This window comes from Homo sapiens, chromosome 8 (assembly GCF_000001405.40).
Source record: "Homo sapiens chromosome 8, GRCh38.p14 Primary Assembly".
In the NCBI taxonomy this organism is placed as follows: domain Eukaryota; kingdom Metazoa; phylum Chordata; class Mammalia; order Primates; family Hominidae; genus Homo; species Homo sapiens.
This window is the reverse complement of record NC_000008.11, coordinates 6,650,149-6,673,515: the sequence shown is the minus strand read 5'-3', so window position 1 is coordinate 6,673,515 and position 23,367 is coordinate 6,650,149. Positions and strand designations below refer to the sequence as shown.

At 42.2% G+C, this 23,367-nt stretch overlaps 1 long non-coding RNA gene across 1 annotated transcript in view, besides 4 other annotated features; it reads left to right on the top strand.

Annotated features, from left to right (window-relative positions):
* The window catches only part of MCPH1-AS1 (MCPH1 antisense RNA 1), a 92,607-nt gene that overhangs the window by 34,694 nt on the left and 34,546 nt on the right, over positions 1-23,367 (top strand). The gene's annotated exons all lie outside the window — the stretch shown is intronic.
* Positions 7,662-7,711: an enhancer, noted in NCBI's record as "active region_26950". NCBI's record gives its function as "activates an Ori minimal core promoter by ATAC-STARR-seq in GM12878 lymphoblastoid cells {active_cell/tissue: GM12878}" and the evidence as "EXISTENCE:reporter gene assay evidence [ECO:0000049][PMID:35858748]".
* Positions 7,852-7,951: an enhancer, noted in NCBI's record as "active region_26949". NCBI's record gives its function as "activates an Ori minimal core promoter by ATAC-STARR-seq in GM12878 lymphoblastoid cells {active_cell/tissue: GM12878}" and the evidence as "EXISTENCE:reporter gene assay evidence [ECO:0000049][PMID:35858748]".
* Positions 8,202-8,281: an enhancer, noted in NCBI's record as "active region_26948". NCBI's record gives its function as "activates an Ori minimal core promoter by ATAC-STARR-seq in GM12878 lymphoblastoid cells {active_cell/tissue: GM12878}" and the evidence as "EXISTENCE:reporter gene assay evidence [ECO:0000049][PMID:35858748]".
* Positions 8,642-8,691: a silencer, noted in NCBI's record as "silent region_18882". NCBI's record gives its function as "represses an Ori minimal core promoter by ATAC-STARR-seq in GM12878 lymphoblastoid cells {active_cell/tissue: GM12878}" and the evidence as "EXISTENCE:reporter gene assay evidence [ECO:0000049][PMID:35858748]".

Sequence of the window (23,367 nt, the reverse complement as noted above, 5' to 3'; positions counted from 1 at the left end):
TACTGATTTCTTTTCCTTTGCATAAATATCCAGTAGTGGGAATGCTGGATCGTTTGGTAGTTCTATTTTTAGTTTTTTTGGGACATCTCTATACTGTTTTCTGTACAGGGTTCCCTTTTCTCCATATTTTTGCCAGCATCTCTACTTTTTTATAATAGCCATTTTAACTTGGATGAGATGATATCTCATTGTGGGTTTGATTTGCATTTCCCTGATGATTAGTGATGCTGAGCATGTTTTCATGTACCTGTTGGCTATTCGTGTGTCTTCTTTTCAGAAGTGTCTATTCAGATTCTTGGCCCAGTTTTTAATGGAATTATTTTTGTTGTTGTTGAGTTGAGTTCCTTGTATATTCTGGGTGTTAGCCCCTCATCAGGTGAAGTTTGGCCAATATTCAAATGATCAGAGACAGGTTGTCTCTTCACTTTGTTGTTTTCTTTGAAGTACCTAAGCTTTTTAGTTTAATATAGTCCCATTTGTCTATTTTTGATTTTGTTGCTTATGCTTTTGAGGTCTTAACCATAAACTCTTTGCCTAGACCAACATCCTGGAGTGTTTCCCCTGTTTTCTTCTAGAAGTTTTCTAATTACAGGTCTTAGGTTTGAGCTTCTTTTAAACCAGTTTGATATCTACAAATATCTTCTAATAAGACAAGAACTTTACTATGCTCTCATATCTTTTGTTCTTGCCATCTTCTGCCAACCCATTAATATTGGCATTAACTAACTTTTAATTCTTAGTTGTAAGGATGTATTTTTTCTTGTTAGTCTTATCAATTTGTAAAGATAACAACTCTACTAAGGTATAAAGTCATTTTTCCTTCAAGAATTTCTTGGAATATCTCTTGAATTTCCTTCACTTTTTAGTTAGTTTTTCAAAACTATTTTCAATGTGACCTTTTCTACAAAATCTTGAAAGCACTTGTATGCCTGAGGAAATTCATCATCTCATCTTATTTGAATGATAGTTTGGCTGGATATAAAATTCTACATTTTTAAGTTCTTTTCCATCAGTATGTCGAAAATAAGATTCCAGTTATCTTGCATCCATTGTTGCTGTTAACAAAGATGATATCAAGCTGATTCTTGTTCTTTCATATAGCCTCTTTCTTTCTTTCTTTCTGTGGGCTTTTAGAATTTCTCTGTTTTTTTCATGCTCTTACATTTCAGTTTAGTACGTGTAGGTGAGGTTTTCCTTATTCTCTTTTGTGGTGCTCTACGAGTCCTTTAAATCTGAGGTCAGTCTTTTCATTCTGGGAAACTGATCTGAACTACTTCTTCAAATATTTTCCCCTCTTCACTTTTTCACTCTTGTCTGAGCTGCCTATTACTTATCTGAATGTTTACGTTTCTTTTTTATTCTCATATTGCCTTAAAATTTCACCCCTACTTAATCTGTCCTGTCCTTTCTCCCTTTAAGTCTGTTCCAGTCTTTGTGATCCAAATCTTATATTTCTTCCAATGAAGAGAGGAGAGAAAGAGAAGAACTTAAGTGTTTTCTTGCATCTTCAACCTCTCCCTGCCCTTTGTATTATTTATATGGTGCCTCATTGAGTTGCAGGCACAGGGGATGTCCCTGTATCTCTGACAAACACTGATAGAGAGCTGAGGATGCAGGACCTCAGATCCCATCCCACCTCTGCCATTCTAGGACTAACAGACCCCTTGCTACTTTTCTGGGTCTCATTGGAAGAAGGGACTCATTTACCCTTTGTCTTCCCCACTCGCCTGGGTGCACTCAAAAGACCTGAAGCTCTTTCTGAGGCAGTGGCTCAGTGGTTGGGGGAGCTGAAAAGGGTTGGGCATCTTGCAGCCAAGTTGGCGGGTGGACTTCCCATGTACCACAGTAGCCCCAGTGCTGGGGGTTCGGGGGCACTGGCCTAGCATACACCACACTTCTTTTCCCAGGCACATCACTCTTAGCCCTCAGAGAGCTTCTTTTATCCCCTTCAGACCCTGGCTGTGGGAGAGGTTGTCCTTGCAGAGGTTGTCCTGGCAACCTTTGCCCCCATGGAGTGTGTCATGCCTTTGCTGGCATCACCTCCCCTGTAAAGTCATAGCTGCACTGCTTCTTGGAGCGCTTGGCCACATGAACCTCACTGTGCCTCTGCAGGGGTGTGGAGGAAACTAGAAAGAGGCCTTGGGCTACCCATATTCCAGGCTGGAAAACACGAGGGCATCCTGGCAGCCACACTGCCGACCTGGGATCCTGAGGCCTGTGTCTCTACCTACCCATTGTTCCTCGGGCATTGGGAACACCCATATTCTGGAACACTTTCCTAATCCACTTCCTTTTCTACTGCAGAAGCCCTGATTCCTCCCACATCCACTCCCTCTGCTCTCTTTTCTTCCTAGGGCCACTGCAACCTGGCTCCATTTCTTAATCCCCCAAGTCTTAATCCTCTCAAGCTCTGCCATCCCAGTGGTCCCCCGAATGGGAGCAGCCAGGACATTGGAAGTATTTGAGCTAAAACTGAATATTTTATCAGAAGTTTGAACTCTGGGTGGGGAGGCAAGAATGATTGACCTGGGTGAAATGTTCGGTCCCTCCCAATCTTCAGATGCTTGGAGGATCTGCAGGTCATCCTGTGGGAATTGCCTTTTCTCCCTCCACCCTGCACCACCCTCCACCCCCGACCCCCTGCCCAGCCAACTATGGCCCCTATGTCTGCCCCTAAGAATGGGGGGCCCTGGCCCACTATGGCCCCTATGTCTGCCCACTGACTGGCTGCCCTGCAGGCCAGTGGGGTTCAGTTATTGCCTGACTGCTTCCTTTTCTTGCTCCCTCTAAAGGGTGTGGGTGGAGCTGCAGAGAGAAGGTGCCTTTCTTGTGGGGAGGCCACAGACCCTCCTCCCAACTCGACACAGTGTCCACCCAATGGGACCAGCTCCTCCCATCTCCACACCCTCCCTCAGGCCAGTAGTCAGTTTAGGAGAAAGTCTAAATGGCCTGGCAAAAAAATGGAGGAGGCCTAGGTTAATTATCCAGGGCCCTGTGGGCTATGTCTTATTGGAAAAAATGGCTAAGAAAAACGGATAATCTACAGCATTTTTTTATCATTTATTTCAAATATACAGCACCTCAATTATGCTATGGATAATAGTTATATAATGGTCAGGCCAGGAAGCCAGTACCCGCTGAGACAGTGTTTCTGTAGAATCCCAAATGCTTGGTTCATTGACTTATATAACACCCTGTAATTTGGGGGCTGTTGGTGTTTTGTAACTGTTGAGATGCAGAAATGAGTGATTTCTTTTGAATTCTTTTACTTCTAGGCAGCAGTCTGTCAACAACTATGGCATCCAGCTGGTCAGAAAGACTAGAGGATTTGACATTTTGCGGCTGTTCTCTAGAACCAAAGAAATGAGAACCTCTTGGTAAAATCCGCTGGTCCAGGAGTTATTATCTCCTGGATTATCTGCCAAAGAAATTATCTGCCAAAATTACAATGTAAAACTGAAGAAGACAACCGATAACTCAGTTAAAATTTTGGAAAAATACAAAGAAACTGTGACTGGGGAGAAATGGTGAGGGAAATTTTCTCGTTGAATTAGAGGATCAGGAGGGCTAAAGGGAGCCCTCATGCTATCAACCAAAATCTCTGTTAAATTCCAAACATAAAATATCTTTTCTCACTGTTAAAATGTCTAAGCAGTCTCCACTAGCAGCCCCCGTCCTGGACACAGGAGCACTGCCCTGCCTGGCCGTCAGGTGCTCCCATAAGCATCATTCAGACAGCGAGGGGGGCAGTGGAGGATTCGGGGGCAGGAGATGGGGTGGTGGAGAGAAGGATGTAACCATCAAAAGTCCATTTTCCCTGCTGAAGCTACCCATGGAACTTTTAAATTGGGTGCAGATTTAAAAATTAATACAAAATATTTGAATAATCGGGGATGTATCAAATGTTCATAAATTACAGCTCCAACTAGGAATGCCTAAGGAACTGTTCCTTCCGTTTAATTGTCCTCTTTGTCTATCAAAAAGACAGCCACTCGCGTGCCTCTTCTAAACAGTCAAATACCATCCTAAGCTCTCATGGAAAATCTCAAGAGGCTTATTGGTTGACTAATTCTAAACCTCTGTTTGCTCAAAGGACAGTGTCAGCTACAATTTTTCATTTGCTTTTGTATTCCATTTATTTTTCTTTACAGCTTTGGGAGATGTGTATTATACTTCTTTTCTTTTAATGATTATCTTGGAAATTGTTTATATATACTTAACAGTCTACAGTGAAGGACTATTTACCATCCTTCTGAATAACACAAAGATTTTAGGACAGTGGTCCCCAGCCTTTTTGGCGCCAGGGACCAGTTTTTCCATGGACCAGGGTGCAGGGGGATGGTTTCAGGATGATTCCAGCACATTACATTTATTGGGCACTTCATTTCTATTATTATTACATTGTAATATATAATGAAATAATTATACAACTCACCATCATATAGAATCAGTGGGTGTCCTGAGCTTGTTTTCCTGCAACTGGATGGTCCTATCTGGGGGTGATGGGAGACAGTGACAGATCAGCAGGCATTAGATTCTCATAAGGAGCATGCAACCTAGATCCCTTGCATGCACAGTTCACAATAGGGTTCACACTCCTATGAGAATCTAATGCCACCGCTGATCTGATGGGAGGTGGAGCTCAGGTGGTAATGTGAGCAGTGGGGAGTAGCTGTAAATACAGATGAAGTTTCGCTCATTTGCCTGCCCACGGCTCCTAACTCTTGCTGTGCAGCCCAGTTCCTAACATATCCGTTGGTGGCCCAGGGGTTGGAGACCTTGTCTTAGAATGGTTTTCCTCCGTTGATCACTGCTTCTAGCTTGTGTGCTACTGGGATACAATATTTTGAATCAATCTCTGTTTTTAACCTCACAGATTGTGTAATTATCAGTATCTGCTTAATATGTATTTAGATTAGTCATATGTTTACCATTTTGTTTAGCTGCCAAACGTCATTGCATTTCAGACTTTCTTTCTGGGAGCGTCTCATTCTTCCTGAAGTACATCATTTAAATGTGCCTTTAAGTTTGGTGGCAAACAGTCTCAATTTCTGTTTATCTCAAAGTGCCTTTATTCTACCTCATTTTTGGTAGTTTCACTGGATTTGTGATTTTTAAATCTATAATTATTTTCTAGCACATTGAAGGTATTTCACTTTCTTCCATGTTCCATTGTTATTAAAAAGACTCCTGTCAGTCTTATTGACATTCTTTTGTAGATAATCTGTTTTTTCACTATTTTATCTATGTATGAATTTAATCTATTTATGAATTTCATCTATGTATTTCATCATGTATGAATTTAATTTATTTCTCTTGCTTGATATATTATATTGCTTCCTGAACTCTGAAAAATTCTTGGCCATTATTTCTTAGTCTATTAAATATTCTTTAAATACTGCTGTCTTGCTGTTACTCTACTATTTAATTCTGAAACTTAAAATGAATATATGTTGGACTTTATTTTTCATTTTCTTAACTTCTCTTGCGTATTTTTAATTTGTCTTTCTGTTACGCATCCTGAGCAATGTCTTTGGATATAATTTCCAGTTTACAAATTCTCTTTTGAGCTGTGTCTAATGTGTTATTTTTTAAAATTTTTTTCAGAGACAGGGTCTTGCTCTGTTGCCAAGGCTGTAGCACAGTGGTGCCATCATAGCACACTGCAGCCTCTAATTAGCAGATTATGTTTTCATAAAATGTTTTTTATCTTTGACCATTTAAAAATTTGGGAGTTTATCTCTCCTCTCCTTTCCTTTCCTTCCTTCTCTCTCTTCTTTCTTTCTTTTTCTTTCTTTCTCTTTCTTTTTTTCTTTCTTTCTCTCTCTCTTTCCCTCCCTCCCTCCCTCCCTCCCTTCCTCCCTCCCTTCCTCCCTTCTTCCTTCTTTCCATGAGATCTTCCTATGTTGCCTAGGCGTACCACCTATTTACTTACTACCATTGCATAAGTCACTTATCTCTCTCTCCATTTTGATTGTCTGAAGCTTGATGTCGACTAGATTTCTCAGGAAAGACTCAGCAATAATAGTCCCTGAGTTCTGGCATGTTGATAAAAGTTTGTCTTTTATTAATTAGATATAAAATTCTTGTTTCATATATTCTTTCCTTGAGTATGTTAATTATTATATGTTATTTTAATATTGTATATTGTAATAGCATATAATAACATATGATATTTGTATTATTTATTTGTATATATTTGCATTACTGTATATTTGTATTCTGTATGATTTATCTTGTATATAAATATTGTATGTTAAATAAATAATATGCTATTTCATTTTCTCATAGCATAAAGCATTGCTGTCGACAAGCGTGATGATAATTAATTTTTTTTCCTTATACCTTACACACTTGTTTGGGATATCTGTTGTAGACTGAATTGCATCCTACCCAAATTTATAAGTTGAAGCTCTAATCCCTAGTGTGACTGTATGTGGAGACAGAGCTTTTAAGGAGGTAATTAAGGCCATAAGAGGGGCTGGTAATATAATATGATTGGTGTCCTTAAAAGAAAAGGAAGAGACACCAGGAATGCAGGTGCACAGGAAAGGCCATATGAGGACAGGATGAGATGGCCCTTTGCAGCCAAGGAGAGAGGCCATAGAAGAAATCATCCCTGCGAACACGTTGATCTTGGACTTCCAGCCTTCAGAACTGTGAGCAAACAAATTTATCTTGTTTAAGCCACCCAGGCTGTGTATTTTGTTATGCCAGCCCTAGGTAACTAATAAAATGTTCAAAGGATTTTTTTTCTTTTTTTTTTTTAAGTTTGGTAATTTTACCATTTGGGGTCAATATTTTCGAGTGTGTGGTATAATTTTTCAATATGTAGCTTCAAATCCTTTTTTAAATTCAGTGTTAAAAATGTGGTATAGTTCTTGTCGTTTTTAGTATTCAGTCTTCTTCTTTGCATTGGTATCTTCCTCGAGACCTCCTATGTTCTATCTCCTTTGCCTGTCTTCAATATGTTCCACTTTTTCTGACATATTTTTTTTTCACTTCTTTTTTACTTTTAAAACTTTCCTCATTATCAGCTGCATACAGTGGCTCACGCCTATAATCCCAGCACTTTGGGACACCGAGGTGGGCAGAGCACTTGAGATCATGAATTCAAGACCAGCCTGGCCAACATGGTGAAATCCCATATCAACTAAAAATAGAAAAAAAAATTAGCCAGGCGTGGTGGTGCATGCCTGTAATCCCAGCTACTCGGGAGGCTGAAGCAGGAGAATTGGTTGAGCCCAGGAGGTGGAGGTTGCAGAGAGTTGAGGTTGTGCCTCTGCACTCCAGCCTGGGCAACAGAGTGGACTCTGTCTCCAAAACAGACAAACAAACACACAAGAAAACTTTCCTCATTTTCACCCTCTGTTTTTCTTAGGGCATTACATGTTGTGTTTATTTGTTGTTTAGTCTTTGCTCCTAAAATGCATTTTTAAATTTTTTAATTCTTTTCTGATTGCTGTAACAATTCACATACTTTCATGTCTTACATAATTTTCTTAGAGTCTGTTAGCTTGTTCTGAAATAGGTTTTGATCTGTTTTGTGGCTGCAGAGGCAGAAAGGGGGTAATCACTTTCTTCTCCATCATAAAGGTCATACCAGTGCCCCTATAACAAAAGACAGATTAACATGAGAAAAGTATAACACATTTATTTCATCATAGTTTGATGTGATGTGGGAACCTTCAGAATGAAGACCCAAAGATACAGGGTGAACTGTGCATTTCTATACTTAGATTTGATGAAGCACAGCCAGCCATGTCGAAATGTAAGACTGGACAGAAAGGTCCTGATCGAATGTAATAGATGGTGTGGGGAAACTCAGCAAGGCCTCTGCGTTCAGATCTTTCTCAGCCTCTCTGTGCCACATTCCCTCCTCCTGGGCATAGGGTAGGGTCCCTCTACAATGAGGGTCTTAATTTCTTTATTGCCAGCTGTTACACAGAAAAGCAGGGGGAGGCTAGAGTCATATTTTTAGGCTTTATGGCTGGCCTTGAGGCAAAGGGGTTCTGGTTTTTATGACTCACCTCGGGAGAGGAAGAATTCTAGTTTCTATAGCTTCCCTCAGGGGAGCATGAGGGGTGAGAGACAGGAGGGCAAGGGAAGGTCAGGGGGAAACTTGGCTTCTGAGGCTGCACTTTGGGCCTTCTGAGCCCCATGACGGCCACATCTTTGTGTCTGCTCTTATTGTCTGTTGGGCTGTTATTCTGCTTCTTAGGACCTTTTTCTTATAATAGTTTTGTATGGGATTTGACTTGGATATTTTCTGTTGCTTATTTTTATGGGAAATTCATTTGCCTGAGCCTTTAGGATGTGGCTGGGTGTAGGAGTGCTCTTTTACCTTTGCGGGGCTCCCTCTTCTGCTGTTTTTGGTAATGTCCAAAAGCAGCATGGCATCCTGTCTTGAGTTTTCCTGCATCTTTTTCTCAAAGCCTCTTTCATCAACACCAGGAGACAGAAATCAAACTCTGGCCCACCACCAGTTTTGTATAGCCTGTGCATTAAAAATGCTTTTTACATTTTTAAATGGTTGAAACAAACAAACAAAGAATACTATTTTGTCACACGTGAAAATTGTGTACAATGCAAACTTCAGTGTTCATAAATAAAGTTTTTTTGGCACACAGCCATGCCCATTCATTTACATGTCATGTGTGGCTGCTTTTACCTTATAACCGCAGGGCCGAGTAGTAGCAGCAAGACCGTCTGGACTTCAAAGCCTACGATGTTTACTATCTGGTTCATAACAGAGGGATTTGTTGGCCTGGTGTGGACCTTCTTTTTCTCTTGTCTCTGTCATGCCTGTCTTGATTGATTTTGATTCTACTCCCAGGAATTTCTCCTCGGGGTAGGGCCCTGGCCCAGACAGGCACTCAGATGGGTCAGTTTTGAGAGTTCATGGGAGATAGAGAGCTCCAGACTCTTGGGCCCTTCCAGCTGTGGGTCCCTTGCTCTCGATTATATGCAGTTGCATTGGGCAAAACCCAAGCGCTTTCGTCCAGTTGGCCCTGCTGGGCTTCCTGGTAATACAGAGCAAAAGATGGAGAATAACCTTGAGCTGTGTGGTATTCTGCTGTTCCCAGAGCTGTCTGCTGCTGCCTGGAGTTTCCTTCTTCCACCCATGCAGAACCTGGAACCTCATGGGGCTCGTGGCTGGCAGTAATTTGCCCCTTGTAAGGAGCTCATAAGGTGCCCTTGGCTTAGGTTTGCTACCCAGGCCATCTATTTTTATGTGGGGACCTAAAACGTTTTAAACAATATTAAATTCTAAGTTTAAAAAATTTTTTCTGTAAGTTCTATCTGCCTCCTTTTCAATTCCATCTTATCATTCTTGTTCCGTTCTCATGGTTTTCCGTCCTTTTATTTCTTTTAACATGTATCATCCGTATCTGATGACGCCAACACCTGAAGTCTTGGTCTATCTGGTCCTGTTATTTTTCCTAATGATTGTCTTGATGATTTATTTGGAATTGTGTGTGTGCACGCATTCTAATTGATGGTCATATTGGTGGGAATCATCAGAAGCCCAGGTTCAGGGACATTATTCCTGGAAGTTGTGTGTCTGCTTCTTCCAGGTGCCTAAGGATGTTGCTGACAAAGGATGTTGCTTTGTGTTTGCCTTTGTGCAGATGTTATCCTTCTCCCTTCTTAACTTTCTTCCTGGGAGTCTAACCCTTCCAGAGTGTCAGCTTTATCAGGTTGGTCTCCATTCCAACTCCCCTGTCCCGGCCCACCTCCCATACACACACACATGAATGCACATATACACACATGCACACACACGCAGATGCACACACGCCCTGTGTATACACAATGCTCGGTCAACATGATGTTCCCCAGCTTGGATGTCAACCTGCTTCTCCACCTTGTCTCCAGTGGTAGAGCGTTTCTCTACCTTTCTTGCAAATTCCCTACCATTCACTCTGCATTTTCAGGGGTCCATTATAATGTTCATTATATTGCTGCAAACATAAGTCACTGATTTACTTTCTTGGATAACACAAATGGCTCAGTTTAGAAGTCTGATGATTACATTCTAGAATGTTTAATATGCCTAAAATGTGGTTATAAAGTGGTGGGCTTTGCCTTTAATTGGCCCTCCAACATTTCTCTGTTGAACACCTTTAGCAACAAGAACTTGGCTTCTTTGTGTCCATGGAGGGCACGCTCTGGGCCGGCTGAAGCACCAAGCACCTTTTCCCTTTAGCTGAAGGAGCTGGTTCCCGTGAGGATGTGGATCCTCCCAAGACTGCTGACACTTTATGCCTGAGTCCAAGACTCATCCAGATTGACTCTGTCCCCCTGCTCCTCCTGCGTAGCCACTCAGGCAGCAAATAATTTCATTTCCAAAATTTCATTTCTAATCCACCTCCTCCTTTCCCTCTCTGTGAGCACTGTGTTCTGCGCCTTAACATTTCTTGTCTGGAAAATTTCAATAGCCTTTCTTAACTACCCAACGCTTATATCTCACTTGCGTCCCCTCAACGTGCCCTTCCACTGGAAGTTCCAGCAATCCTGAGGCCCTCAGACCTCCCCTCACCTTCGGGACTGGCACGGGCCTCTCCCTTGGTCTCTTTTCCACTCGGAACTCCTATGCTTCCTTTGAAACCTATGTTAGAGAGTCAGGCATGGTGGCATGCACCTGTAGTTGCAGCCACTCAGGAGGCTGAGGGAGGAGGATCGCTTGAGTGCAGGAATTCAGGGCTGCAGTGAGCTATGACCATGCCTCTGAATAGCCACTGCACTGCAGCCTGTGCAACGCAGTGAGACCCCACCTAAAAAAAAAGAAAACTCACCTAAGTTAGATGTCAGTTTCTTCTGGAAGTATTTCCCAAGCTCTTTTCCTTTCCGTTTAAAAGCAATCACCCTTTCTCAAAGTTGTCGCTCTCCCTGGTCTGCAGTGAACTTATCACACTGTGTTGTCATTTGTTTTCCAGCCTCATCCCCCTTCAAGGCTGTCAGCTCGCTGAGATAGGTGCTGTATCTTCATTATTTCTGGCCCTTGGAGCCTGTACAGTCATTGATACAGAAGAGCTGCCCAATAGAGTTCTTACAAATTTTGGCTATTTCTGTTTGGTGTGAATCAAACTCCAGCACTTGTTGGAAGGTGAGTGGAGGCAGGGAGAGGGCACCACAAGCCCTGTGAATCCAGGGTAGGAAAAGCAGGTGGAGATGAGGCCTTCAATAGATGAAGCTGCAAAGTTACTGCTTTGAACAGAAATGTGGAAAAGATCCTCATATCTTAAAAATAGTATCCCTTTGCTTCTGGTGACAGGCTAACTTCGGTGGGTCCATCAGCATTAGGGACCATGGGGGTCATTTCACCAAATCTCTTTGCTCCTTTGTTGAAGAAGTTAAACTCCTCAAGCTCAGATATGTTATGTGCTTAAAGTCTAATTTGGGCTCCAAGGATATTATAAAGTAGCCCCTGAATCTAATAAATCTTTAAAAAGGGGTGGTGTGGGAATTGCTCAAGAAAAGCAAAGTGCCGAAGAGTTAAAAATATCAGAATTCCTCCGTAAGTCTCTAACCGCTGCTCCACAATCTCTTCTGGGCTCTGAAGCCACAAGATGAGGTGACAGTCTTTTCCTCACCCCTAAAAAGGAGGTCAGTTTTGAGCCCGTTACCTCCTACTGTGCCATCAGCCCTTTCCCCACACAGCATCCCCAGTTGTTTTTGGAAGGAACCTTGTGGCATCGTGTGAGTCACAGCCCTGCGGCTCCTACCATCACAGCCTCACACACTCAGGACAAAGAGTCCTTCTCTTTTCTGTGACCAGTTCCCAATAAGTTCATGGTCGGGTTTCTCGCCATTGGTTGAGTACATTATCTGGCTGATAACTGGCTCTTGGTGCCAAGCTCTGAGGTCTGGCAGTGTCTCCCTTCCCGCCCTCCCAGGGCCCCTGGGGCGGCCGTGGGCCGACGGAGCTGCTGCTGTTGCCCGTTGTTCTCATCTCGCTGTTGACAGACAACAGCCCTAGAGAGCCCAGGATGGCGTTCCTCCCCTCGAGTGCTCCCTCCTCAGCGTTGGCTGAGGTTTCATTGGCTGGCTCACGGGAGACAATACTGAATTAGCTTTTTCAGTAAATCGTCTATCTGGAATATTAAAGATGGAACAACTATGAGTTCCCATAGATAAGCTGTAATCCAAATATTAAAAAAATTGAAACCAGATTAATGAAATTGACAGCTGCCGCCAGTATCTTAGAGTTCTAGGTGGAGTTTGGTCCCTGCAAGGTCCTGAGGCTTTGGGAAAATATTAACGCTTAGACTGGGAACTCATACCAAACAAAATAATAGTTTAGCCTGAAGAATGTTTGTATGATCTTGTGTAGTTTCAGGTCAATAATTCTAATTACTGTCTCCATTAAGGGGTTAAATATTAGAGGGATAAAAGTAGATATTGTCTTCCTGACACAAAAATTTATAGTTTTAAATAAAGTAGTAGAATTAGAATTGAGAACACTGAACAAAACAGTTTAATTACAACCACAGGTAACTTTAAAATAGGCAAATTCCAGCCTTACATTATGGTCAATTAAGTATTTGTCAAACAGACACAATAATGATAAGTTCTCTATTCTTTCCTTGTTGTTTGAATTGTTTGGAGTCAGGCCTGTTGGCTATGCACTTCTTAATCTGTGCTGGGGGTTCCTACCAGTCAGTGTCTGATTCGTGTCTTTGAGTCAGCATAACTCACTGAATACTGCAAACCGAGATGCCTTTGCTTCTTCCCCCTTTCAGAAGGGCGTCGACTCCCTGGCCATCATCCTGTGCTCTCAGGCACCAGACAGGGATTATTGTGAAAATTGCCAGTTGAAGAAACCCTGGCTCTGAGAAGACAAATGCCTTATCTGAGGTTTCAGGCTGGGTGCCAGTGAGAACCCATGGTCAGTGCATCCGTCCTGGATTTAGTGTGAGGCAATCAGGGGCCAGTGTTGGCAGCAGAGTAAGGTCTCCTCAAAGATGTTCTAATCTGAAAATCTGTCAATATGTTTCCTTCCATGGCCGGGGGGATTCAGGTGGTAGGTGGAAAAGGTACTAATCAGCTGACTTTAAAACAAGTCCACCTGGGTTATTTTGGGGAGCCCAAGGTAATCAATGTAATCACAAGGGTTCCTAATTGGGGAAGAGAGGGCAGAAGAGTGAGTGTCAGAGTGAAGTAAGATGAGAACGACTCCCCTGCCGTTGCTGGCTTTGAAGATGGAGGAAGGGGCCATGAGCCAAGGAAGGCGGTACCTTTAGATCCCAGAAGAGACAAGAGACGCATTCCCACCCAGCGCCTCCAGAAAGTAAGGAATCTCTGCTGACACCTTGATTTTAATGAAATCATTTGGGCCTCCAGAAAGGAAGGGAACATAGGAGGTGGAAGAGAAGGAAAAAGAATTGAGTTGAATATAGAAAAATAAATTTAAAGAACAAAGAGAAGCAAAGAAGGGGAGGAACAATCACATTGGAGGGAAGGGAGCAGAGATGAGAGATGTTTGGGATCTTGATTTTTGGTTGACAAAGAGCTTTACTTCTCAGCAATGTGATCCCCTAAAGAGGTTCTACTCAGATCTATTGTTCTCAGCTAGCTTTCAACAGTTAACTAACCAGTGACTTCTTGAAATATGTTTTCTTCTTAGATTTTGTGACTTTGAACTCTCTATCTTGGGTAGTGTTAAAGCAAACTAAATATGGCCAGAGAAGGACTCCAGTACTTTTATATTCGAGTCCTTGTGGACGAACTGCAATCTAACTTAATAGGTAGACAAGATTGAGAACCTAACTTAGGAGTATGCACCTGTAACAATAGCTGAGTCTCGGCTAATCCCAGCAGCCATACTTCAACCATTTATACACTGCTGAGTGTTCAAACTGTGTTTAAATAAGGCAAATGCTGAGCTGTAACCAACCCAGTTGTTTCTGTACATTACCCCTGATTTCTGTACATTACCTCCCTTTGTTTGGTCTATAAATCTTCTTCGGCTGTGCTGGGGTCTCTCTAAATTCGCTGTGATTCTGGGGGCTGCCTGATTTGCCGTTCATTACCCAATGAAGGTCCTTTAAATTTAACTCAGCTGAAGTATTTCTTTTGCCAGACACAGCTTCTCTACATTTACCAGATCTAATGTTTGGAGTTCCCTATGGCTAAAGCTTGGGGCTCTGTTGCTTTCTCCTTCCAGGTGAGCTTATCAATTCCTGAGACGTAAAAGACACACACACCTACTGATTTGTCCTCATGCAGTGTCCGGACTACACACACACACACACACACACACACCACTCTACTTCACATCTTAATTCGGATGTCACTCAGACCTCTCAAACATAACATGTTCAACATAGGATTTTTTTTTTTTTGGAGGCAAACTCTGCCTCCCAGGTTCAAGTCATTCTACTGCCTCAGCCTCCCAAGTAGCTGGGACTACAGGTGCACGCCACCACACCCAGCACATTTTTTGTATTTTTAGTAGAGACGGGGTTTCACTATGTTGCCCAGGCTGGTCTTGAACTCCTGAGCTCAGGCAACCTGCCCACCACCAGCCTCCCAAAGTGCTAGGATTATAGGTGTGAGCCACTGCACCCGGCCTCAACATGGGATTTTAAGTTTTTTCTCGTCATGCCATGTATTATTATTTCCAATTATTTTTCCTCTTCCATGAAAGAGGATTAAACATCCCACCCAGTTCCTAGTTGCTTACATACCTTCTTGGGGAAGGCTCTCCTTACCAGGCTTGCCATGTGTGGTGTAACAAAAATGGACATCTGTTAAATGAGGCTAATAGATACATGTTCTTGGTCCCTAGTTCCTGGCACAGAGCTTCAGAAACCCTTGTAATTTCCTGAGCACTAGGAGTGTCTTTGTGATGCTAATGAGGTGACCCCCGGTGGCCCCTAGGTGGCTTCAGGATGGGGGCTGGTCACCAGAAGGACCAAGCACTTGGTTAGAAAGTTGGGACTTCGGTTGATCATGACCATGGGGATGGAGGAGAGGACCAGAGATTGAGGTCAATCAACCAACTTAATAAATTTAATCAATCTCATGCCCACATAATGACACATCAATAAAAAACTCTGCAGCACAGCCTTGGTGGAAGTTCTTTAGAGGAGTTCATGAACGCACTGATTGATGTCCTGGCCCTGGGAGGGTGATGTGTTCAGATTCCACGGGGAGAGGGCATCAAAATTTTGCATTCCCTCCCAGACTTCACGCTATTTCATTGCAATTTTTGATTTAAGTCTGTTTTTGCTGAATTATATCTAATTATTTCTAATATAACCTCTAATGTAACATCCTTTTAGATTTTCTTTTACTTTCCATTGTTTATTATTGTCATATGCTTTCAAAATTCTTCAAGATTTGAAAACTTAAAGGCGTATGTAAGTGTAGTGAGTAGTTACGTTTCCCTTTCATGCCTAACATTGTTTTGTTCCTTCTTTTCTTCCAACCCTTGGTCAAACTTTCGGAAATTTGTCTATTTTATTAGTCTTCTCAAAGAATCATCTTCGGATTAATTGATTCTTTTTTCTTTATATTGATTTTGTTACTTTCTGCTATTATTTTCTTCCTATCACTTTCTTTGATTTACTATGTAGCTATTTCCCCAATTTCTTTATTTCTTTTTTTTGAGACAGTGCTTGCTCTGTTGCCCAGGCTGGAGTGCAGTGGTGAGATCTCGGCTCACTGCAACCTCTGCCTCCCAGGTTCAAGCGATTCTCCTGCCTCAGCCTCCCAAGTAGCTGGGACCACAGGCGTGTGCCACCACGCCTGGCTAATTTTTTGTATTTTTAGTAGAGACGGAGTTTCACTGTGTTAGCCAGGATAGTCTCGATCTCACCTCGTGGTCCGCCCACCTCGGCCTCCCAAAGTGCTGGGATTACAGGCATGAGCCACCGCGCCTGGCCCTCCCCAGTTTATTTCATTCAATATTTAGCTAACAAAGTTTTAGGTTTCTTCCCCCTTTACTACTAATATAAGCAATTAAGGCTGCATAGTCCCCTCTAACTATTGCATTAGGTATGTCCCAGAAGGTTTTATTTCAGTTCTAAATATTTTTTCATTTCCATTATGATTTCTTTTGATGTATCAATTATTTATGTTTTCAACCTACAAATACAGTTTTTGGACTTCTTTGAGACAGAGTCTCACTCTGTCACCCAGGCTGGAGTGCAATGGTACGATCTGGGCTCACTGCAACCTCCGCCTCCTGGTTCAAGCTGATTCTCGTGTCTCAGCCTCCTAAGTGGCCGGATTACAGGTGTGCGCCACCATGCCTGCTATTTTTTTTTGTATTTTTAGTAGAGATGGGCTTTTACCATGGAGGCCAGGCTGGTCTCGAACTCTTGGCTTCAAGTGATCTGCCCACCTTGGCCTCCCAAAGTGCTTGGATTACAGACGTGAGCCACTGTGCCCAGCCTAGTGTTTGGATTTCTTCATACAATTAATTTCCTACATTATGCTTAGTTCAGAAAACATGGCCTGTATGACCGTATATGAACTTAAACCTGTTGAGTCTCTTTTTTGCTCTCCCTGATTGGAGCTCTGGGCCGGTCTGGCTTCTTTGGCCTCTTGTGCAGTTTTTCCTAGTCCTCTTCCTCTCAGCGTGTCCTTCCAGGAGTTTGCTTTTCTTTAGGGGATCTCAGCTGCAATGCCAGCGACTTTTCACAGGTCCACTTCCTCATCTGCTGATCCTGTTCGACATGAAAACCCAAGCCTCTGCTCCCCAAGAGCCTGCTCTGCCCTACCTGGCAGCGGCCGGACCCCAGGACCTGGACTCGGCATCCCGGCTGCCTCTCTTGACTCCCCACCGCCTGAGGATTTCCATTCTTTATTAGGAGTTCTGCAGTGCTTTTGGAAGGAAGCTTGTGACATTTCCATCACTATCTGTAGGTCTGTTGTGCAAAAGGGTGTTTAGGTTTAGGTGATTATATCCACTGCATGCTTTTTCGAACATTGAGACCATTGTGTTTATTTTTCTTTTCTCTTTCCATTCTCTCCAAACAGAAACTGTACTTCTCGATATGATTCCCTGTAAGCAGAGAAAGGTTCACATAAGGAAGCAATGACAAGAAAAGCGCAAACATGAATGTTCCCTTTATCTGCAATTAAGTCACTACTTGTCATGTGAAATAAAGTAACAGGTTATTAATGGCAGAGTTATGGAAGTGGAAGGCAGATGAGTGGTTGCCAGGAGTTAAGGAAGGGACAGAAGCTGGTGGGTTCCGTGGTTATAAAAGGGCCCCAGGACAGAACCTTCTGGTCACGGAGCTGCTCTGTGTCTTCACCACAGTGGTGGTTACACGAGTTTACACACTAAACAGACAAACGCTCGCACAGACCTCAAATACACGGACGCCCGGACAAGTTATATCAGGCTCCCAGTTGACATAGATGTACTTTTATTTTTATTTTTATTTTTTGAGATGGCGTCTCCTTCTGTCACCCTGGGTGGAGTGCAGTGGCGCCATCTCGGCTCACTGCAACCTCTGCTTCCCGGGTTCAAGCGATTCTCCTGCGTCAGCCTCCTTAGATGTACTTTTAAACTCAGTTATCTAAAAAAGGGTCTTGTCGGCTGGGCACGGTGGCTCACGCCTGTAATCCCAGCACTTTGAGAGGCCAAGGCAGGCGGATCACGAAGGTCAGGAGATTGAGACCATCCTGGCTAACGCGGTGAAACCCCGTCTCTACTAAAAAAAAATACAAAAAATTAGCCGGGCGTGGTGGCGGGCGCCTGTAGTCCCAGCTACTCGGGAGGCTGAGGCAGGAGAATGGCGTGAACCCAGGAGGCGGAGCTTGCAGTGAGCCGAGATCGCGCCACTGCTCTCCAGCCTGGGCGACAGAGCAAGACTCTGTCTCAAAAAAAAAAAAGAGTCTTGTCCCAGAAGGATGCCAAGAGCGAGTTCTTGGATCTCACATGGGAAAGAATTCAGGGCAAGTTGCAGAGTATAGTAAAGTTAAAACTGCTTATTAGAAACTATTACCGAGTAGGGTGTCCTCGAAAAGCAAGGAGGAGCACCTTAAACGTAATGCTTGCCTATATAGCATATTAAGGCAAAGAAGAATGTAATTTATTTTTTTTAATTATACTTTAAGTTTTAGAGTACATGTGCACAACGTGCAGGTTTGTTACATATGTATACATGTGCCATGTTGGTGTGCTGCACCCATTAACTCGTCATTTAGCATTAGGTATATCTCCTAATGCTATCTGTGCCCCCTCCCCCAACCGCACAACAGGCCCCGGTGTGTGATGTTCCCCTTCCTGTGTCCATGTGTTCTCATTGTTCAATTCCCACCTATGAGTGAGAACATGTGGTGTTTGGTTTTTTGTCCTTGTGATAGTTTGCTGAGAATGATGGTTTCCAGCTTCATCCATGTCCCTACAAAGGACATGAACTCATCATTTTTTATGGCTGCATAGTATTCCATGGTGTATATGTGCCACATTTTCTTAATCCAGTCTATCATTGTTGGACATTTGGGTTGGTTCTAAGTCTTTGCTATTGTGAATAGTGCCACAATAAACATACGTGTGCATGTGTCTTTATAGCAGCATGATTTATAGTCCTTTGGGTATATACCCAGTAATGGGATGGCTGGGTCAAGTGGTATTTCTAGTTCTAGATCCCTGAGGAATCGCCACACTGACTTCCACAATGGTTGAACTAGTTTACAGTCCCACCAACAGTGTAAAAGTGTTCCCATTTCTCCATATCCTCTCCAGCACCTGTTGTTTCCTGACTTTTTAGTGATTGCCATTCTAACTGGTGTGAGATGGTATCTCATTGTGGTTTTGATTTGCATTTCTCTGATGGCCAGTGATGATGAGCATTTTTTCACGTGTCTTTTGGCTGCATAAATGTCTTCTTTTGAGAAGTGTCTGTTCATATCCTTTGCCCACTTTTTGATGGGGTTGTTTGTTTTTTTCTTGTAAATTTGTTTGAGTTCATTTTAGATTGTGGATATTAGCCTTTTGTCAGATGAGTAGATTGCAAAAATTTTCTCCCATTCTGTAGGTTGCCTGTTCACTCTGATGGTAGTTTCTTTTGCTGTGCAGAAGCTCTTTAGATTAATTAGATCCCATTTGTCAATTTTGGCTTCTGTTGCCCTTGCTTTTGGTGTTTTAGACATGAAGTCCTTGCCCGTGCCTATGTCCTGAATGGTATTGCCTAGGTTTTCTTCTAGGGTTTTTATGGTTTTAGGTCTAACATGTAAGTCTTTAATCCATCTTGAATTAATTTTTGTATAAGGTGTAAGGAAGGGATCCAGTTTCAGCTTTCTACATATGGCTAGCCAGTTTTCCCAGCACCGTTTATTAAATAGGGAATCGTTTCCCCATTTCTTGTTTTTGTCAGGTTTGTCAAAGATCAGATAGTTGTAGATATGTGGCATTATTTCTAAGGGCTCTGTTCTGTTCCATTGGTCTATATCTCTGTTTTGGTACCAGTACCATGCTGTTTTGTTTACTGTAGCCTTGTAGTATAGTTTGAAGTCAGGTAGCTTGATGCCTCCAGCTTTGTTCTTTTGGCTTAGGATTGATTTGGCAATGCGGGCTCTTTTTTGGTTCCATATGAACTTTAAAGTAGTTTTTTCCAATTCTGTGAAGAAAGTCATTGGTAGCTTGATGGGGATGGCATTGAATCTATAAATTACCTTGGGCAGTATGGCCATTTTCACGCTATTGATTCTTCCTACCTATGAGCATGGAATGTTCTTCCATTTGTTTATATCCTCTTTTATTTCATTGAGCAGTGGTTTGTAGTTCTCCTTGAAGAGGTCCTTCACATCCCTTGTAAGTTGGATTCCTCAGTATTTTATTCTCTTTGAAGCAATTGTGAATGGGAGTTCACTCATGATTTGGCTGTTTGTCTCTTATTGGTGTATAGGAATGCTTGTGACTTTTGCACATTGATTTTGTATCCTGAGACTTTGCTGAAGTTGCCTATCAGCTTAAGGAGACTTTGGGCTGAGACGATGGGGTTTTCTAGATATACAATCATGTCATCTGCAAACAGGGACAATTTGACTTTCTCTTTTCCTAATTGAATAACCCTTTATTTCCATCTCCTAAGTGATTGCCCTGGCCAGAACTTCCAACACTATGTTGAATAGGAGTGGTGAGAGAGGGCATCCCTGTCTTGTGCCAGTTTTCAAAGGGAATGCTTCCAGTTTTTGCCATTCAGTATGTTATTGGCTGTGGGTTTGTCATAGATAGCTCTTATTATTTTGAGATATGTCCCATCAATACCTAATTTATTGAGAGTTTTTAGCATGAAGGGTTGTTGAATTTTGTCAAAGGCCTTTTCTGCATCTATTGAGATAATCATGTGGTTTTTGTCTTTGGTTCTGTTTATATGCTGGATTACGTTTATTGATACGTGTATATTGAACCAGCCTTGCATCCCAGGGATGAAGCCCACTTGATCGTGGTGGATAAGCTTTTTGATATGCTGCTGGATTCAGTTTGCCAGTATTTTATTGAGGATTTTTGCATCTATGTTCCTCAGGGATATTGGTCTAAAATGCTCTTTTTTTGTTGTGTCTCTGCCTGGCTTTGGTATCAGGATGATGCCTCATAAAATGAGTTAGGGAGGATTCCCTCTTTTTCTATTGATTGGAATAGTTTCAGAAGGAATGGTACCAGCTCCTCCTTGTACCTCTGGTAGAATTCTGCTGTGAATCCATCTGGTCCTGGACTTTTTTTGGTTGGTAAGCTACTAATTATTGCCTCAATTTCAGAGCCTGTTATTGATCTATTCAGAGATTCAACTTCTTCCTGGTTTAGTCTTGGGAGGGTGTATGTGCGAGGAATTTATCCATTTCTTCTAGATTTTCTAGTTTATTTGCATAGAAGTGTTTGCGGTATTCTCTGATGGTAGTTTGTATTTCTGTGGGATCGGTGGTGATATCCCCTTTATCATTTTTTATTGCGTCTATTTGATTCTTCTCTCTTTTCTTCTTTATTAGTTTTGCTAGCGGTCTATCACTTTTGTTGATCGTTTCAAAAAACCAGCTCCTGGATTCATTGATTTTTTGAAGGGTGTTTTGTGTCTCTATTTCCTTCAGTTCTGCTCTGATCTTAGTTATTTCTTGCCTTCTGCTAGCTTTTGAATGTGTTTGCTCTTGCTTCTCTAGTTCTTTTAATTGTGATGTTAGGATGTCAATTTTAGATCTTTCCTGCTTTCTCTTGTGGGCATTTACTGCTACAAATTTCCCTCTACACACTGCTTTGAATGTGTCCCAGAGATTCTGGTATGTTGTGTGTTTGTTCTCGTTGGTTTGAAAGAACATCTTTAATTCTGCCTTCATTTCGTTATGTACCCAGTAGTCATTCAGGAGCAGGTTGTTCAGTTTCCATGTAGTTGAGTGGTTTTGAGTGAGTTTCTTAATCCTGAGTTCTAGTTTGATTGCACTGTGGTCTGAGAGACAGTTTGTTATAATTTGTGTTCTTTTACATTTGCTGAGGAGTGCTTTACTTCCAACTATGTGGTCAGTTTTGGAATAGGTGTAGTGTGGTGCTGAAAAGAATGTATATTCTCTTGATTTGGGGTGGAGAGTTCTGTAGATGTCTATTAGGTCCGCTTGGTGCAGAGCTGAGTTCAATTCCTGGATATCCTTGTAAACTTTCTGTCTTGTTGATCTGTCTAATGTTGACAGTGGGGTGTTAAAGTCTTCCATTATTTTTGTTTGGGAGTCTAAGTCTCTTTGTAGGTCTCTAAGGACCTGCTTTATGAATCTGGGTGCCCTTGTATTGGGTGCATATATATTTAGGATAGTTAGCTCTTCTTGTTGAATTGATCCCTTTACCATTATGTAATGCCCTTCTTTGTCTGTTTTGATCTTTGTTGGCTTAGAAGAGTGTAATATATTACAAAGATTTGTGATCAGCTTACGACAGGCTATTAATACTGTTATTTTCTTGTGCAACTATTGATTTCAGCAAGAATTTATGAATGTGCTGTTATCTCTAAAACGAACCCTGTTCTTAAACTAACAATGCTGTTTGTTCTTCAAATACTGGGACATTTCTGTAAGTTCTGGTTCTTTAGGTAGGTAGTCAGCATCATTAACTCGTTCCCTCAACTATAAACATCCTGTGACTGAGAGTGATCATCCCTCAGGGAATGTCCCCCATCAGGTTTGGCTCTATCCAGGCTTTATTCAGGATGGAGTCACCCTAGTTAGGACGCCTCTGACAATTCTGATGTTCTCATAATCAGTGCCCTAGTTATTCTCCAATACCTTGATAAGAATCTCACAAGGTATTTGCAACACTGTAAGAAATAGCAATTTGGTCTCAATCTCCTGACCTCATGAGGCAAGAGAATGGCGTGAACCCGGGAGGCGGAGGTTGCAGTGAGCCGATATTGGGCCACTGCACTCCATCTTGGGTGACAGAGTGAGACTCTGTCTCAAAAAAAAAAAAATAGCAGTTTGGTTTAACAAGACATTACATCTTGTGCAGAAGTAAATGAAATGTACATTTATAATATCCCATTGCGTATTCTAACTCCCTGCTTCTGAAACTGCATCCACATCACCGGATAGCTTGTTAGAATCCAGCCTTTGCAGTGAGCCATGAGTGTGCCACTGTACTCCAGCCGGGTGACAGAGGGAGACCCATCTTGAAAGAAAGAAGAGAGAGAGAAGACAGAGAAGAGACAGAAGGAAGGAGGAGAGAGAGAAGGAAGGAGGAGAGGAGAGGAGAGGGGAGAGGAGGGGAGGGGAGGGGAGGGGAGAGAAACGCAGCCTTTCTGGCCCCAGATGTGCTGAAGTAGAATCTGCCAGTTAACAATATCCCCAGGTGATTTGAATTTGTATTAAAGTTTGAGATGCAGTTGTCCAAATCCTTTATTAAATAGGTATGCTTAGATTTTTCTCATATAATCTCAAATGAAATTATAAGGGGCATGGTTATAAACAATTATCTAGAAATGATCTCTCAAGTCCTTGAATGGCATTTCCAAAAACATGAGATGATAACATTTACTGTAACTCAAGGTGAAAAATGTTTCATCAAAGACTGTCAATGTCTGCCCAAAATAATGGGAGCAGCTACATGGAACACAAAGACGCTCTCAGGGACCATCAAGGGAAGTCTCATTTGTGACATCTCTGCAATGTGCCATGTTTCATTTTCAAAGACGTTTTCTGAGTGTGATCAAAGTTCTCTGTCGTGCATAGACCATTTCAGTTTGGGACATCTTGGATGCACAGAGAAAGCCTTGTGGGTCAGGAGTTCTGGTATTTAGATTCTTTGCACTGAGTTACTGCTCATGGGTGGCGTGTCTTTCGAGATCTCAGCTTCTTTGTCAGTGATAGGAGGGACTGGGCCAGACCGGCAGTTTTCAAGCAATCTCGGAAGTATCTACAAAGGCG